The sequence below is a fragment of the Homo sapiens genome, chromosome 7 (assembly GCF_000001405.40).
Source record: "Homo sapiens chromosome 7, GRCh38.p14 Primary Assembly".
Classification (NCBI taxonomy): Eukaryota; Metazoa; Chordata; class Mammalia; order Primates; family Hominidae; genus Homo; species Homo sapiens.
In genome coordinates, this window is record NC_000007.14 from 107,009,256 (window position 1) to 107,028,103 (window position 18,848).

An 18,848-nucleotide genomic window follows, 5' to 3' on the forward strand; every position below is an offset into this window, starting at 1 on the left:
CCCCGGCTCTACTAAAAATACAAAAAATTAGCCGAGCGTGGTGGCGGGCGTCTGTAGTCCCAGCTACTCCGGAGGCTTAGGCAGGAGAATGGCGTGAACCCAGGAGGCGGAGCTTGCAGTGAGCCAAGACTGCGCCAAGACTGCGCCACTGCACTCCAGCCTGGGCGACAGAGCGAGACTCCATCTCAAAAAAAAAAAAAAAAAAAAAAAAAAAAAAAAAAAAAAAATCCTGGATAAATGCTACCAAGTGAATGGAAAAAAGGACTTTAACCTTTCTAAGAAAATTCAGCAGGCATTAGATTGTCACAATTAGAATTGGTTGTCTTTTCCAAATTTAGGTGACCTTTTTTAAGTGGAGCAACTGAAATCTAATTAAACACAAAGAAGTTGAGGTTTCACTCAAGAACCAATTTCTAAGTTCAGAGATCATTTCAATGCCAAGCTCCTGATTACTATAAACTGAAAAAATAATTAACAGAGGATTTTTAAAATGTTGGATGTGCATGCTAAAGTGTTTGATATATTCTCATCAAGTGTATCTTCGGTGATTTTATTAGCTACTTTTAGATATCAAAGAAGTATAAAAACTTGAAAAATAAAGTCATTGATAATGAATGCTGCAATCAATTTTTCCTGGCAGAACAAGTCATCAGATTATACAGGGAGATAAAAATGTTCAGTACCAGATTGTACTTTTCATTTATGACAAAAGAAGGGGTGCGGATCAACAACTGGCTTTATAGCCAATGTCAACACCAAGAACTCCACAGAGAGGATTAGCATAAGAAGATCTGTGAAGGATCCAGCATGTTCTTTTTCCCTAGACCGATAGAAGCAAATGAAAAACAAAACAAAACAAAAAACCTCCAGGCCTGGTGCGTCCCTGTTTGCCGCAATACCTCACAATAAGGAGGGTTTAGGCATAAAAATAAAAACAATTCTTTAACTTACATGAAGCATAAAGTGTTTTCAAAGCACTTTCATATCCATTTTCATTTTGTCCTCATCCATTCCTATTGACCATTATCTCCCTTTTCCAAATGCAAACACAACTCAGTCTCTCTGAAATTCAGACTGCAACTACTCTTCAACACCACGGGATGCATGTTGAGATAAAATCCGGATCTGGGGCAGATGGAAGAAAAATACCGTTGGCCCTAAAAAGACAAGAGTCACCAGCATGACGCTTTTTTTTTTTTTTTTTTTGAGACAGAGTCTCACTTTGTCGCCCAGGCTGGAGTGCAGTGGCATGATATTGGCTCACTGCAACCTCCACCTCCCAGGTTGAAGCGATTCTCCTGCCTCAACCTCCCAAGTAGCTGGGATTACAGGCATGCGCCATGATGCCCAGTTAATTTTTGTATTTTTAGTAGTGACAAAGTTGCACCATGTTGGTCAGGCTGGCCTCAAGTAATCCGCCCACCTCGGCCTCCCAAAGTGCTGGGATTACAGGCGTGAGCACCACACCGAGTCCACCATGAGGCTTTTATAAGGATGGACAGGCTACTGACTTCTGGGTGGGGATTAAAGACAGGATTCTGTGCCATCCTGCCCCCAAATCCCTCCTCTACAGACTGAGTCACTGTATCTGATTAAGCAGAATGTGCATTGTTGTGAAATAGGTCCCATGAAGGATGCAAACATTCCAGTTTTACACCTCAACTCCAAGTGCACACAATCAAAACCACTGTAGAGAATGTTATATGACAATCATCATATCTTATAGTGGATCAGTTGCGGTACACAGACTTCATTATGAGGTCTACCATGAGAAACTTTATATTCTGACTTAAAAATGTCCCATAGTGGGCCGGGCGTGGTGGCTCACGCCTGTAATCTCAGCTCTTTGGGAGGCCGAGGCGGGCGGATCACAAGGTCAGGAGATCGAGACCATCCTGGCTAACACGGTGAAACCCCGTCTCTACTAAAAATACAAAAAATTAGCCGGGCGTGGTGGCAGGCACCTGTAGTCCCAGCTACTCGGGAGGCTGAGGCAGGAGAATGGCTTGAACCTGGGAGGCAGAGATTGCAGTGAGCCGAGATCGTGCCACTGCACTCCAGCCTGGGCAACAGAGCGAGACTCCATCTCAAACAAACAAACAAACAAACAAAAAGTCCCTTAGTGATTAGTTCCTCCCTGACCTCATTAAGTTAAAACGAGACACATTCAACATTTTCCAAGAAATGAAGCATGAGTCCATTTTACACAGCAAACAATGCCAAGATAACTAGGCAGCGGGTTTCAGAGAAATATGCCTCCATTTTGAAATTGAGCCAGAATTCATACCTTATGCTCCTGAAAAAAATTATTTTTACCAAAACTACATGAAGAACTGTCTTGATTTTATTTGGAAAATTCCCAATTTTGTGTTGCAGTGGTTATGTGTGAAACCTAAATGTCTATTGCAAAGAGTAACTTGCTTTATAAACTATGTTGGTAAACCAATATGGTTTGTTGTTTGTTTTTTTGTTTTTTTGTTTTTTGTTTTTGAGACGGATTCTCACTCTGTCACCCAGGCTAGAGTGCACTGGCATTATCTCAGCTCATTGCAACCTCCGCCTCCCAGGTTCAAGTGATTCTCCTGCCTCAGCCTCCCAAGTAGCTGGGACGACAGGTGCCCGACACCACACCCGGCTAATTTTTGTATTTTTATAGAGACGGGGTTTCACCCTATTGGCCAGACTGGTCTCAAACTCCTGACCTTGAGATCCTCCTGCCTTGGCCTCCCAAAGTGCTGGGATTACAGGTGTGAGCCACTGTGTTTTTTGTTTTTTGTTTTGAGGCAGGATCTTGCTCTCTTGCCCAGGCTGGAGTGCAGTGGTGCTGTCACAGTTCACTGCAGACTTAACCTCCTGGGCTCAAGTCATTCTCCTGCCTCAGCCTCTTGAGTAGCTGGGTCCACAATATGCCTGGCTAATTTTATTTTTTAGTTTTTAAAGAGACAACATCTTATCATGTTGCCCAGGCTGGTCTTGGACTCCTGAGCTCCAGTGATCCTCCCTCCTCAGCCTCCCAGAATGTTGGGATTACAGGCATGAGCCACGGTGCCTGGCCACCAATTTGTTTAGTAATCATGTTGGGGGCAGCATCATGTCTCCAACATGCCCCAAAGGAAGTGTTTTCCTATTTTATGTACAGGTGTAGATTTCTGCCTATCACTGTAGCATTTTTCATGTTAAAGTTTCAGAACACTTTGATATACTATTGTTTGCCCATTTTTTACAAAAAGAGAAACTGAAGCATTAAAGATCATACAGTAATTAGAGACAGTTTAGAGCAGCAGTTCTCAAAGTGTGGGCAAGTTATCCTTATGAGTTCCTGAGAACTTTCATGGGGTCTGCAGGTCAGTCCTTCTTTTTCCAACCACATATCTATGTGAGGCAAGATTTTCTTCATATGCTTCAACCAAAACAACGTGTGGAAACAGTGTTGATGCCAAGCAGATAGGAGAATCCTTAAGGCAGGCATTAAGGAGATTTCAAAAGTGTAAAACAATGCCAGCGTTCTCACTAAATTTATGTTCCCATTGCAAAATATAGTTATCTTTCATAAAATGTTTATTTATGTTAAATGTAGTAAGTTTCTTACTGTTACTTTTTTTTGAGATGGGGTCTCACTGTGTTGACCAGGCTCAAGTACAGTGGTGCGATCATGGCTCACTGCAGACTCGACCTCCTAACCTCAGCAATCCTCCCACCTTGGCCTCCCAAAGTGCTGGGACTATAAGCGTGAGTCGCCATGCCTGGCTTGGTTACTTTAAATATTAAACATTTTTGAAATTTCTCACTTTTAATTTCTAATATGGTAAACAGCGATAGATACAACTCACATAAACAAAAGCTCTTTGGGATCCTCAATAAATTTTTAAAGGGATCTTGATACTAAAAAAGTTTGAGATCTGCTGGGTTAGTTAGGGAACAAAATCCCAGTTAAAAGAGAAAGTCAAAAATAACATTATCAAAAGAGAATGAATTTGGAGTTAAAGAGATCAATATTGTAGTTAAAGGAAGTAAGAATTCAGGAACAACAAAAAAAATTTTTAATAAGATCAAGAAAGAAAACAAAAGGCTGGTCATGGCGGCTCACATCTGTAATTCCAGCACTTTGGGAGGACGAGGCAGGTGGATCACTTGAGCCCAGGAGTTCAAGACCCGCCTGGCCAACATAGCGAAACCCCGTCTCTACTGAAAATACAAAAAATTAGCTGGGCGTGGTGGCACATGCCTGTAATCCCAGGTACTCGGGAGGCCGAGGCAGGAAAATCGCTTGAACCTGGGAGGTGGAGGTTGCAGTGAGCCAAGATCACGCCACTGCACTCCAGCCTGGGCAACAAAGCAAGACTCTGTCTCAAATAAAAATAAATAAATAAATAAAAGAAAACAATGTTTTAGGCACAAGATATACAAATACAAGGACCAAAGACAATGGAAAAACAAAATTCAATTAAGAGCCCTTTCCTTTTGGGAATTTGTTTTTGAAGAAAACTTTGGGTGTATCTGGCTGATAACAAGAGCCCGGGAAGGAAGAAAGAGAGTGCTGTAAGTAATTGAAGTGTTATGGATGGATCATGGGTAGGTCTAAAATATGTCAGCTAGATTAGTATGAGGTCTCACACTGATACATGAATTGATTTTAATTAAAAGCCAATTCAGGACACAAGCTAATGTTTAATAATTGCGAATTGCTTCAATAAATTGTGACATCCTCATGATGCTATATTCAGCCAATTATGTTCTGGAAAAATTTTAATGACCTGGAAAACTGCTCACAAATCAAAAAGCAGGTTACAAAACAATATTTGAAAAAATATAAGTATAGAAAAAAGATGAGAAGGCTATAAACCAAAATGTGAATATTGATCATTTCTGGATGATGATAATTATTATATTTTTGTTTTTTTGTATATTTAAAGTTCCTCCAAATAATAGTAACAATAATATTACAACAAATTTGTTTTTGGTAGCACTGCCTAATATTTCCTGTTTTCTTCAGATGGTTGAAAGTTGGAGCCATCTCTTCCTAGGCAAGCCATACCCATTGACTCCTCCCTGGTTTTAATACATAGTCCCAGGAAGCCATTCTCTTCCTTCCCCTTACACAGGTTATGGAAGCATTCTGTATTGCTTTTGAACTCAGCAGCTCCAGGGTGTGCTAACTGATTTTATTCTGTGAATTTAGAATTAGGTGGTTTGGAGCAGAATGATGAACTCTCCTTGAAATAATGAATGTAAATTAATGTGAAAGTATATCCCCAGGATTTCCTGTAAGAATTTTTTATTACCGTGTCAGTTAGGAATTGTTACACGTACTTATAATTTATTGCCTCCAGTGGCATGCTAGATACTTTACATGACTGTTACCATGGGAACATCAATGTTCCTATACGGTGTAATTCTATTCCCAGAAGCTGAAATGAAAGTTGGCATTATCTTAATGTTACAGACGTGAACATTTAGGCATTCAGAAGCTAAGTAGCTGGCCCAAATGCAACAACAAATCAGAGGAAGAGGCACTGGAATTAGTCTGCTGATACCCAAGCCAGGATACTCGTGGCTAGAGCTGCAAGACTCATCAAATCATGTGCAATGTGAGCTTAGTTTGGCACAGTCTCCTCTATAATAGGGTGATACCAGGACAGCCTATCACAAGCTCAGGGTGGGCACTGAGAGTCGTATTACCTGGAAGCAGTTTACAGGAGAAAGAAGAGGGTGCAACTCCTGGGCTCAGAATTACCCTTAGGAGCAAATGTCAACGAGCCAAGCCATTGAGAGTAAGTTCCTGCTAGCCAGTGATCCTTACTGAAAGGAAAGTCAGGAAATTATATGGCTGCATGAATGAGGGAAAGTCCTGAGAACCATTTAGACAAATAAAAGGAGGACTATTGGCTGGGTGCGGTGGCTTGCGCCTGTAATCCCAGCACTTTGGGAGGCCAAGACGGGTGGATCACCTGAGGTCAGGAGTTCGAGACCCCCTGACCAACATGGAGAAACCTCATCTCTACTAAAAATACAAAAAATTAGCTGGGCGTGGTGGCAGGCACCTGTAATCCCACCTAATTGGGAGGCTGAGGCAGGAGAATCACTTGAACCTGGGAGGCACAGGTTGCAGTGAGCTGAGATCATGCCATTGCCCCCCAGCCTGGGCAGCAAGAGGGAAACTCCGTCTCAAAAAAAATAAAAATAAAAAATAAAAGGAGGAGTGTTTTATTTTAATAAATATGGCACAAAGAAGAAACGTAGAGTACATTTAGGAATTTTTAAGTAGTAAAGGCCAAAGGGCACAAGTAATGGCAAATTAACTTCTCTTCTTCTTCCCCCTTATCATAGCTTTTCTGGGTCATCTTCTAATCCTCCATAGTAGGTACAGGAAAAAAGAAATAGAAAATCCCCAGAAAAGTTATATAGAGGAGGTCCATATTGTTTTCTTTTCCTTTTCTTTATCTTTTTATGAGTCGGAGTCTCACTCCGTCACCTAGCCTGGAGTGCAGTGGCGTGATCTCGGTTCTCTGCAACCTCTGCCTCCCGGGTTCAAGCGATTCTCATGCCTCAGCCTCCTGAGTAGCTGGGACTACAGGCACGCACTGCCATGCCTGGCTAATTTTTTGTATTTTAGTAGAGACAGGGTTTTGCCATATTTCCCAGGCTGGTTTCAAACGCCTAAGCTTAGGCAATCCACCCACTCGACTTCCCAAAGTGCCAGGATTACAGGCATGAGCCACTGTGCCGGGCCTGGAAGGTCCATATTTTATGTGGCGGTTGTAGTCAAGGAAAACAAGTTATAGTCAAGTGACTTACAAAAGAAATTATTTTCTTACAAAATTGATATAAAAAGTCTACCCTCCCACTCTCAGTCACTTTTTATTCTTCAATACTGTTTAACAATCATAGTCAATAATAATAATGTTTTACATAAATAACAAATTATTAATAAAAAATATTCTAATAGGCATAGGATTAAACCATTTACCCCAGTCTTGATGAATGACACAGGTCACTCTAAACCAGGAGTCCGCAAGTATTTTCTGTAAAGGGCCAATAGTAAATATTTTAGACTTTGCAGGCTACATAGGACCTCCTTAAAATGTAAAATCATCCTTAGCTCAGCTGTACAACAACGTAAGTTTCTACTCCCCACCCTAAACTACGGCACCAAGGATAAGGGCCAAAAAGGGCAGGAGGGTAGCAGGGTAGCATGCAGGAATCGTTCGTATTCTTCTGGTTCTTCCCACACACTTGGATTGTCTTGTTCACACTGTATCTCCAGCCCCTAGAACACTGTATGGCATAGATTAGGCTTGAATATACAATTGCAGATTTAGTGAATGATAGCTGGATTCACATGGCTGAAAAGAGGTCACAATTTACTGAAAGTCTGTGGGTCCTCCCCTCTTCATCATTGTCAGATAAAAGTGCAAAATAATTTGGTGTTGATTCTTTTCTACAATGAGTCCTTGTGTTGAGAATCCAGAGTCACTGGCCTTTGCTGTCTCCTGGCCAAAGAGAGTCATATCAATAAAGAAATGACTAAGTATTAACGACTTATAGCATAATACGTTCTGCGTGTATGAGCATCTAAATGTAAAACAGTATTTAAAGGGAGTTAACATCTTAGTAGAGTCCTTTTTAATGTGCAAATCATTATGGATAGAGGAACCTAGGTATTTCCTGGTGGAGTGGAAGGAAACTAACAGTTGCTGAGGAAGCTTTGTGCTAATGTGTTCAGTACATTATTTAATATAATCCACATATGTCATTATGAAGTAGAGGATATTCATTTTATGGATAGAAAACTGAGGCTCAAGGAGGCTGAATCATTTGCTCAAGTTCCAAAAATTAGTAAGTAACAAATCAGGATTTAAATCCAAGGCTATCTGTTTGGGCTCTTCATATATACCTGACTGTGGTCCAGGTTGTATTTCTAGCTCTGTCAACAATTTGCCTTGTGACCTTTGAGATGATCACTTCACCGCATTCATCAAACTTAAATATCAATAGCTACCTACCTCTCAGGGAGTTGAAAGATTTAATGAATGTTACAAAATATAGCACATCGTACTACCTTGTACAGCAAATAAGTATTTGCTGAATTTGAATTTTATTGTATATCTGAATTGGCTGACACCTATGAGAAAGGAGAGAGGAGTATGTGGAGGAGAAGCCTGATTTATCACCCCCAAGTGACTACAAGAGAGAGAAAAAAAAAAGGATGAAAGGCAATTAAATGATTGTGTAGTTGGGGATGTAAATATGGCCAAAATAGGATGCAAAGCAGGATTTAGAAAGTAGAAGTTGGGTTTCTGGGAGAACTAACATGAGTGTTGTGTCAATGATTTCCAAAAATTTTTGTTTTTGCTTTTGTGAGCAACAGAGAGAGCCTTTCTTCAGAAGCCTTGTTTTGAAGCCCAGTATGGAAAATAAATTCAGAACTATTCTTAGCCCAGCTTTCTTATTTCCATCGTGGCTCCAAAGGAACTTTTATGGAGCCCCTCAGGCCAGCTCAGGGCATGGCTTAAAACTTCTTACTCTTATATCTGCCTCGTCCCATAACGCCCAATCAAATATAGTGTTTACATTTTATGAAGGTGGATGTTGTGTTTCTCTTCGTAACTGGGATCTACTCTGTAGAATTCTTCCCTGTTGATGGCTTTCACGTTCAGAGGTTGAGGTGACTTTAGGCATGGTTTGATCCGTGCTTTAATTTACAGGGTCAGGAGTATTTATTTTTCCATTTCTTAATACTGCATCCTCTGTGAGAGCTCCATTCATTGTCAAGCAGGCTCTTTCCACATGTGGCAGAGATGGCCACCAGCAGCTTCAGGTTTACATCATCCTTGGTACCTGCAATTTCAAGAGTGACTTGCTTGATAGCACAAGTTCCTTAAAGGATTTGATTGGTTCATCATCAGTCATGTGGCCATCCTGATGCAATCACTATGGCTGAAGTAATTACCATTGGCTAGGCCTGGTTATGTGTCCACCTCCAGAGCAGGGGTTAAGGCCAGTTCCACCAGAACGCATGGATTGAGAATGATAAGTGTGAAGGGTAATGCCCCAAAGTGATACTGATCACACAACAATGTATGTCTACTCTAGCAGTCAGAGACATGAAGTAGTAAGTAAGCCCAAGACAGGAAGATTTGAAGACCAGGTTGACTGAAGTGATGGAACAAGTAAAGGTAGAAGAATTCAGCAACAAAAGAAAAAAGTGTGGACTTGTGTTTCTACAAGGAGAAGGAAAAGACTTACTCAGTCCCTGAAGGAAAGAATAGATTATGAAGCCTTCTGAAGGACTATTTGTCATCAAGATAAGATGAAAAGCAGTCAACAAGTGCTTGCATGAGGATATTGTGTGGGAACCCAGATTATAAAGTCACTGGGGAAGACTTCAAGAGACATATTTGCAGTGATTCCATTGCCAAGGGTGAAAGAGCAAAAAGAGCATGGCTTAAGCGTTAGGAATAGAGTGATTGCTTATTTATTTTGGACAAAGTTTCTAGAGAGAAAATTTAGAGCTATTGGCTGGACACAAATAGCACTAAGCCAACCAAAAATAAAGACCACTTCCATGGTAGTAAGCATAGTGGTTAGATGCTCTAGGTCGGGAATCAAATAGATCTAGGTTTAAATACTGACTCCTTTACTCATTGGTGATATGATCTTGACAAGTTATTTATTTCCCTGTATCTTGACTTTCTTTCTTTCTTTCTTTCTTTCTTTCTTTCTTTCTTTCTTTCTTTCTTTCTTTCTTTCTTTTTTTTTGATAGAGTCTTGCTCTGTCACCCAGGCTGGAGTGCAGTGGCACAATTTCGGCTCACTGCAACCTCCACCTCCCAGGTTCAAGGGATTCTCCTGCCTCAGCCCCCTGAGTAGCTGGGATTACAGGGGTGCACCACCACGCCCGGCTAATTTTTGTATTTTTAGGAGAAACGGGGTTTCACCATGTTGGTCAGGCTGGTCTTGAACTCCTGACCTCATGATCCGCCCGCCTCGGGCTCCCAAAGTTGACTTTCTTATCTGGAAAATGGAGATAATCTAGTTTCCAGCTCATGGGGTTTTGCGATTTAGGATTGATAGAGATAACATCTGCAAAGGACTTTGTACAGTGCCTGGCACATAATAAGTGCTACATTGTTGGTGATTATATTATTTAGAGACCAAATGATTGCTATATAGAATGCAGATATTGTATCAATGATGATATCAAAACACATAACCTATATCAACTGAGTGAGAAACCGCATTTTTTTCTCTTCTTTTCTTTTTTTGTTTTTTGAGACGAAGTCTCACTCTGTCACCAGGCTGGAGTGCAGTGGCGCGGTCTTGGCTCACTGCAACCTCTACCTCCCGGGTTCAAGTGATTCTCCTGCCTCAGCCTCCCAAGTAGCTGGGACTACAGGCGCCCGCCACTACACCCGGCTAATTTTTGTATTTTTAGTAGAGACAGGGTTTCGCCATGTTGGCCAGGATGGTCTTGATCTCTTAACCTTGTGATCCGCCTGCCTCGGCCTCCCAAAGTGCCGGGATTACAGTCATGAGCTACCATGCCCAGCCAAGAAACTGCATTTCTTCAGAGAAAAAAGTTGGAAATTAGGTAAGGGAGAGTAGACCATTGCAGAGAGGTGACCAGAATAGCTGAATTTTTAAACTTGAAATAGAGATAAGTCATTGCAGCACAGTTTTTTATTCATTCATTCATTCAACAATGTCTTTGTGAAGGGCCACTAAGTGTCATGCACTGTGTGCAAGGTGCTAGAGATGAAGAAGATAAAACTGCTACCATTAAAGAGTTCATAGTCAAGAAGAGGAGAGAGAAGAAAATTCGTAACAGAACAGCGCGCTGAGAGCTCTCCAGAGATTTGTTCAGAGTGTGTGAAGGGAGCAGGCAGTCAAGTCTACCTGGATATTCCATGGTTCAGGAGGGCATCTGATTATGATCTGCTTCCTACTTGCGGGTTGAAGGCATAGAGAGTAGTAGCTTAGTAAGGCAAAAATCTTAGAAGGTCACACCTAGAAACTGGCAAATGTTAATCATGGCTGAAGCTGACAGGAAAGAACTCCTGTCTTTCTATTATTCTCCCCACTTTTATTTATCTTTGAAAATTTGCACTATAAAACCTTTCTTTAGTAGCATATCAAATTAATTTATCAGATCCAGGAAAGAGCAGTGAGGCATAAAACCACTGGCAGCAGCCATAACCAGGAACATACAGGCTCTTCGACAAAAGGGAAGAATCAGGCCTCACTTGAAATGGATGGAGGAGCAAGTCGAAGCAAAGAAGGGGGAAGGGCCTGGGAAACACAATTCAAGGCAGTGAGAGCAAGGGGGAAAGGAATAGAAATGGAAAGAAAATCCAGAGCAAAAAAAGGGGAAAGGAATAGAAATGGAAAGAAAATCAAGAGCAAAAAAAGGGGAAACGAATAAAACCCCGAAATTCTGAGCACCTAGTTATTAAAAAAAAAGGCAGAAAGAATGGACTAAAAAGAGAAAATGTGATCAAAGCAGGCCTAGCTAAGAGCATTATGGGGAAGCGAAATGAAAAAGGCTAAGGCACAAGCGAAAACTATTGTCAGAGATGAAAACGGATTAGGACTTAGCTCCAAATGAGGGATGGTGAAAGATAAAGCAGAAGGATGCTCTATGAGGGAGCCAAGTTCAAGGGAAAATAAGAGCTCCAAATAAGCCATATAGCAGGATGTTAATTTAAGGTGCTGGAGTTTAAATAAAATTTGCAGAATGATTGTTTCCTATCGGGGGGTAAAAAAATGCAGAATGAAGTTGGGTAACTTTTGGGAAGATCTGCAAACATACCTTGACAAGTTCATTTGTTCTTTTATTCATCCACTTCAACAAATAGTTATTAACATGGTCATTGTCCTCACAGAGCTTAGGGCCTAGCAATGGAAACAGACAACAAGCAATTATAATAAACCGTGACAGGCCGGGTGTGGTGGCGCATGCCTGTAGTCCCAGCTACTCAGGAGGCTGAGGCAGGAGAATCGCTTGAACCCGAGGGGGCAGAGGTTGCAGTGAGCTGAGATTGCACCACTGCACTCCAGCCTGGCAGACAGAGCGACACTCTGTCTAAACAAACAAACAAACAAACAAACAAACAAAAACCGTGACAGGTGCCAAGACAGGGTAAGTGCAGGGGCTGGGAAGCACATGGCGGGCACTAACAGGCTGACTTGAATTCCATGCTGGTTGTTCCCTCAATCCAGAGGCTGCCTCTGGGGCTTTGTAGGAGCAGAAATCTGATCTGGTCCCCCATCCATGTATACCTCTTAGGGATGGACACACCTTAGCCAAGCTCACAATGGCACAACCACCAGAAGACCAATCTGTTGATTTATACTGAAAAAAACAATTCTGAAAGACTTGGCTATTTGGATTCTCTGATCAGCATATTCTTACATAATAGACAAATCTAAGCGGGAGCCAGGTTGCCATCAATGGCTTGTTCAAAGAGAATGGATCATAAGAACGGGGGTGAGCTACATGATCTTAATGCAGTGTCACCAAGCAGTGATAGCCCAGTGCACTAATCTGCGCTGTACAACCATTATCTGCCTCACAGAAGATATCTGTGTTCATGGCTCAAGGCACTGTCCCTCTGGGCACTGAGAGAGGGACTATCACAGTCCCTCTTTCTCAATATCCATTTTATAGACCCCCCTACTTACATTTACATATTCATTTTCCAGACAGAGTACAATATAATTAACTAAATATAATTTCTCTTAGGTGCAATTACAATCCGTCAATCTTGTCCCCCTAAGGTGGCACATACATAGATCCTCCAGATTACCTTTGAGTACTCACAACCTATTGGGCCCTCCCTATGTAATTCTGATTTTATTTATCATGTTTTAATTATTTCCATGTTTATATTCAGAGTGTAATTTTAACCTTGTTTTGGAGGTGTGCTGACTATTTTCCATGTACTAGATCTATTCTCTAGGCAGCCAAAGTTGAGTTTGGCCAATGAATGAGATGTCAGAGGTGAAAGGAAAGGAGGAAAATGTCAAGATATTTAATCCCTCAGTTCCCTCCTTATGTGATCACTACAAACAGGTTACATATCCAGACCAAAGATTACAGCTTTTGTCATTAGGGCCCTCTTTGTTTCTGAGCTTCAGTAATAGTTGTCTTCCTTTTCCAGTTTGGGCCTCAGAGTGGTAATATTTCCTTGGTGTTACAGCCTGAAGATATTGCAGTGTCCCTTGTTGGTCTCCCTGAACCCTGTCCATATCATTGTAAATAATGTCTTTATTTAACTCTTCTCAGTGTCTACTTCGCTTTTGCCATCTCTTTCCTGTTGGGACCCTGATATAGGTAGAATATTGATTTTAGACTCATATATCACCAATGGGAGGTAAAGCCAAATAAGACTGGAGCAGAGTATGTGACTAATTGGATTATATAGTGATTGAGACCCAAAGAACTAGAAATTTCATTTCGGGGGCTCTAAAAGAGCAAATTTTAAGTAATACTTCCCTGCAAAATAAATATAGGAAGTAAAATAGAATTTTGGATTTAAAAGGAATCTTAAAGAGTGTCTAGATCTTAACAATGAATACAATTGAGGCAGATAAGGTGAAGTGGTTCACCCAAAATCACAAAGTTCCTTAACTACAGGACTGAGGGTAAATTTGGCCTTCTGGTTCCTAATTCTCTGCTACTGTGTTTCCTCTGGGGACATTATCTTTATTTCTAGAAGAAGAAAGCAATATTGGTGTTGTCTTACCCCAGTTTTTTTTTCATCAAACAAGAATTCCCATAAAGGGAGGGAAAAGAAGGTAGGTGTGGTGATTTTTTAATGTGTAAACCATTTCTTTAATAATGATTTCTCCAGGTGGGGCGTGGTGGCTCATGCCACTAATCCCAGCACTTTGGGAGGCTGAGGTGGGCAGATCATGAGGTCAGGAGATCGAGACCATCCTGGCTAACACAGTGAAACCCCGTCTCTACTAAAAAATACAAAAAATTAGCCAGGCATGGTGGCAGGCGCCTGTAGTCCCAGCTACTGGGGAGGCTGAGGCTGGAGTCCCAGCTACTGGGGAGACTTGAACCCGGGAGGTGGAGCTTGCAGTGAGCTGACATTGCGCCACCACACTCCAGCCTGGGTGACAGTGCGAGACTCCATCTCAAAAAAAAAATTTTTTTTATTTCTCCAGAGGTGGAGCTGGATTCCTCTCCTTTTGAATATAGGCTGGATTTAATAACTTGCTTCTAATGAACAGTATATGATAGAAAAGATGGTGTGTCACTTCCTAAATTAGGGGATAAAAGGAAATAAGATTTTCTCCTTGCTCTCTCTCTTTCTCTCAAACACTTGCTCTGGGGAAAGCCAGCAGCCATGTTGTGAGAACACAAAAGTAAAACTCCAAGCAATGCTGTGGAGAGGAACTACAGACTGCTACCCACAGCCTTTTGAGTGAGCCATCTTGGAAGCAGATCTTCCAGCCCCAGTCCAGCTTTCAGATGAACACAGCCAAGGAAAACAGTTTGACTTTGATTCAGAGCCAGAACAACCTCTCTTATATGCTCCTGAATTCCTAACCCACAGAGACTGTGAGATAATAAATGTTTGTTGTTTTAAATAGCTAAGTTTGAGGGTAATCTGTTATGGAGCAAAAGTTCATTAAGATGGCAAGGAAGGGAAAGAAAGACAGAAAAAAAAAAACAAAGAGAAAAAGTCATCAGAAAAAAAAATACTGCTTGTAGAACATTCTTGCACACCACTGCCAAAAACTGTTAAGAGAATAACTAGATAACACAAAAGGCTGATGAGTTGAGGAACTGCCAAACCAACACATTTGGAGCACAGAATGTCAAGGTTTTTGTAAGAATCCAAGAAAAAATGTTTTACAATTTAAACACTTGCAAAATGCCACTCTGGTCAGATTATGGTCTACAGAAGCCCAATACTCTATTTATGAAGATGGAAAAAATTTTGTGAGAGAACATGGTTACTCTTTATGCCACTGAGCTTTGAAATCAAGAGCCTTCACCATTCCTAATTTCAACACACACACACACACACACACACACACACACACACAATTTATAGACTTCAGAAAAAAAAAATGCTGAGTCCTCTATCATCTTTTTTTATACTAAAACTGCCTCCAAGCTCCAAGAGTTGTTTCTTCCATCTAGAATTCTTGTGACAGTCTTTGCAGGAAGTTCAGGGAGCCTAGAGGCTAAAGGAAGCTCTTCTGGTTCAGTGTTAATATTTGGGGTGGAGATGGCTATCAGAGACCAGTAAATCTCCATAAAATAACCAAAGTTACAGTCACTAACCACCATAACGAAAGTTTTCATTTCAATGAAGAGTAGCTGTTCACTTTGTCAAACAATTATTCCTATGGTTTGAGCCTTCATGAAACACACACACACACACACACACACACACACACACACGCATACACATAGTCCTGCTTGCCAAGTATAGATGTCTCCCTATGAACCCCTCTTTTTGTGGCCTCATATTATATTTAATACAGGATGAGGGGGTCCTCTGAAGTTTCTGCTGAAAGGCCCCTAGTTGTTCATGCTGATATTTGGTAGCTATCATTCATTCTAAATGTAGACTTTAAAAAAAAATGCTCTTTGATTCCTTTTCCATTCAGCTTTCATCTTCTCACTCTCAATGAACAAACATTAAAAGAGAAAAGTAAAACTAAAGAAGTGTGAATATCATACAAAGTAAGGAATTTTGTGAAAGATGTAGTGTGAAAGATAATAGTGAGAGTAGCTGTTCCTTGTGCTTGCAATCAGAAGAGTCATTGAGGAAAATGCCTTAGAGTATGCGAAATTGGTGAGGCATGTCAGATCATGAGATAGAGATGGCAATGTGGGGGAAGGCAGGCTGGGGAGGGGGCCATCTCTGTGTAACACCAAGGGGGCAGCCAAAAGAAGGGGAATGTATCAGAGAGGAAAAAAATCGCTGAAATTAAAGAAGAAATGGACAAACACATTTATGAAAGGTGAAAAATGGCACTGACTCAAGTAAAAGCTTTATTCAGAGATATACTAAAAGATGTAAATCAGATAAAGGAGAAAATGTTTATTTATTTACATAAATAAATATCAGTTAAAAAAAAAAAAGATGAGGCTAGTGTGGTAACTCACACCTGTAATCCCAGCACTTTGGGAGGCCAAAGCAGGAGGATCACTTGAGCTCAGGAGCTTGAGACCAGCCTGGGCAACAAAGTTAAACTCCAAATCTACAAAAAATAAAAAAATTAGCTGAGTGTGGTGGCGCATGCCTGTAGTCCTAGCTACTCAGGAGGCTAAGGTGGGAGAATCACTTGAGCCCAGGAGTTGGAGGTTGCAGCGAGCTATGATCATGCCATTGCACTCCAGTCTGGGCTAGAGAGAGACACTGTCTCTAAAACAAACAAAAAAAACAAAAGATGAGTCAGCAATTTCTGTGAGTGACCCCAAGTCTTCCACAGAATGATGAATGTCCACACCATCCAGCTCTGCAAGACAGCCTCTTATGATTATGCAAGTAATCTTAAAGCAGGATGAAATAAGATTCCTTCTAATGTTCTGGGATTGTACTGTTTTTATTTTCCTAATGGGAGACTGGATTTTAAATGGCAGAGGCAAACAGCTGAGAGTTAGAAAGCATAATAAAGTTCATGAGGAAAAAGAGAGTTCCTGGAACAGATTGGCTTACCACAGCATTTGCAAATAATTCCCCTACTGTTAAAATAAGGCTTTGGCAGATACATTCAGTTTGATTTTGGGAAAAGGGAAATAATAAAATCCATGACACTGGTGCTTTTTGCTATCTCATTTAAGGAAACTAACAAAAGAATAGTAGAAATTAGAGGCACTCAACATTTTACAATTCAGACTAAAATTTTTTTCATCATTTAACTGCAAAGACTAATGGTAGCCAGCAACAGGATAATACCTCGGGCCTAAATAATGTTACAAGAAGATGACAGACTAGAATTTCCAGTATTTTGAAGCCAATAACAGAATAACTTAAAAGAGCTTGAACTAGTGCTTTTGTCTCAGGAGACAGTAGTCAATACAATCAGGCATAAATCATTTAAAAACAGAGCCAGCATATGGGTTGCCTTCTAACTGTGTGAAATATACAAAAATGCTAGGCAAAATGTGATTAGCATTCCGATACATTACGGATAGAGCTTGAAATAAGGCACGAATATTCATGCAATCCTCAGCGATATGAATAACAACAGAAACTGAAAATATACTGCATGAGAAAAATGCTAATGAAACATTAATAAGCAAAAATTTCTGTGCATAATCAGTGAAACTGAAGGGTTATTACAGCTTAGGAATCTATTGTTTATGGAAAAGTGAAGGTATATAAATAAAAAGGGGACAGAATTAAAAATGGTAGAGGCAGTCTATTTTGTTATCTAAGCATCAGGAGAAAAATATAAAGTATGATTCCAAATTTATTTTTAAAAAATAACAGTTGTTGTCTCTGAATATTGGGACTATGCAAAATTTCTTGTTTTTCAAATAATTCTATGATCAACCTTATTATTATTTTAAATATTATTTTTAAAAATTGGACTTTGGGTTTAAGGCCAGTACTGTATATAACTAGAGGAAAGAGCACATGTAAGTTGTAGCCTACAAAAATAATATTATTATAAGGATGACAGGAACAGATGGATTCTATTTTCATTTTGGTGACAAATACATAGGTCTAGATTCAGTATAAACAACTATAGAGTGATGGAGGCAGGAAAGAGGAAAAAAATTTTTAAAGAATAAGAAAAGAAAAATTAATTTCATTAAAATCTTAATTATCTGATTTTCTGAAAAGACAAAAATGGTACAAAACAAAAACTGTAAGGGATATTAAAGAGAATATTGAACAAAGTTGACTTCCTGCAGAGTTTAAAATTATGGGTATGTACATTGTATTGAATGTGAGGTATTTCTATTGAGACATAAATAGAATCATAGATCTCTAGACCTAAAAGGAGTTTTAGAGATTATCTGGTATCCAATTCCTTCATTTTACAGAAAAAAACTGAGACCCAGAGAGTCCCAAACCTTGTAAGAGAGAGTTTGAGATTTGAACAAGACTTCAGTGCTCCTTCTGTCTGATTTCATTGTAATTTACGCTGTATGTGAGCATCACAGTCAACTACATACCACAACTTCCCCAAAGGAGAAGGAACATTCATTAGGGCTGGAACAAGACATAATAAATGCAATATTTTAGGCCAGGCTCAGTGGCTCACACCTATAATCCCAGCACTTTTGGAGGCCAAGGCGGGTAGATCACCTGAGGTCAGGAGTTTGACATAAGCCTGGCCAACATGGTGAAACCCTGTCCCTACTAAAAATACAAAAATTAGCCGGGCATGGTTGTGGGCACCTGTAGTCCCAGCTACTTGGGAGGCTGAGGCACGAGAATTGTTTGAACCCAGGAGGTTGAGGTTGCAGTGAGTGGAGATCACGCCACTCCACTACAGCCTGGGCAACAGAGCAAGACTTTGTCTCAAAAAAAAAAAAGCAGTATTTTAAAATGTTATGTTCAATCTGTCTAAAAACTGAAAAGTGTTGGGTAACTAAAGGGGAAGGAAGGAAAGAGGTCAGTTAATTTTAAGGTTGAATGGAGGAAATGGGAGGGGTAGGGTGGTTATAGGGGCTGTCAATGAACCCAAACACAACTTGGAAGGCATGAGTAAAAGAGATTAGCCAATTGAGACTGATCTTGACTCAAGGGAGGGAAAAGATAGAATGGGATAGCTCTCTGTAGAAAATTTCCTATAGTGATAGTGAATGAAAATAATGAAACTTTAGGTATTTAGGTCTAAGTTTGTAGAAAGACTACAGACTC

General features: G+C 40.4%; 3 annotated features.

Moving 5' to 3' along the window:
• Positions 804 to 1,272: a transcriptional cis regulatory region, noted in NCBI's record as "candidate enhancer chr7.4046 targeted for multiplex CRISPR interference". NCBI's record gives its function as "positively regulates PRKAR2B gene expression with high confidence in K562 cells {active_cell/tissue: K562}" and the evidence as "EXISTENCE:mutant phenotype evidence [ECO:0000015][PMID:30612741]".
• Positions 1,005 to 1,128: a transcriptional cis regulatory region, noted in NCBI's record as "TAD6.SE3.HS2 sgRNA1-sgRNA3 range targeted for Mosaic-seq CRISPR perturbation". NCBI's record gives its function as "positively regulates PRKAR2B gene expression in K562 erythroleukemia cells {active_cell/tissue: K562}" and the evidence as "EXISTENCE:mutant phenotype evidence [ECO:0000015][PMID:28416141]".
• Positions 16,376 to 16,572: a transcriptional cis regulatory region, noted in NCBI's record as "candidate enhancer chr7.4048 targeted for multiplex CRISPR interference". NCBI's record gives its function as "positively regulates PRKAR2B gene expression with high confidence in K562 cells {active_cell/tissue: K562}" and the evidence as "EXISTENCE:mutant phenotype evidence [ECO:0000015][PMID:30612741]".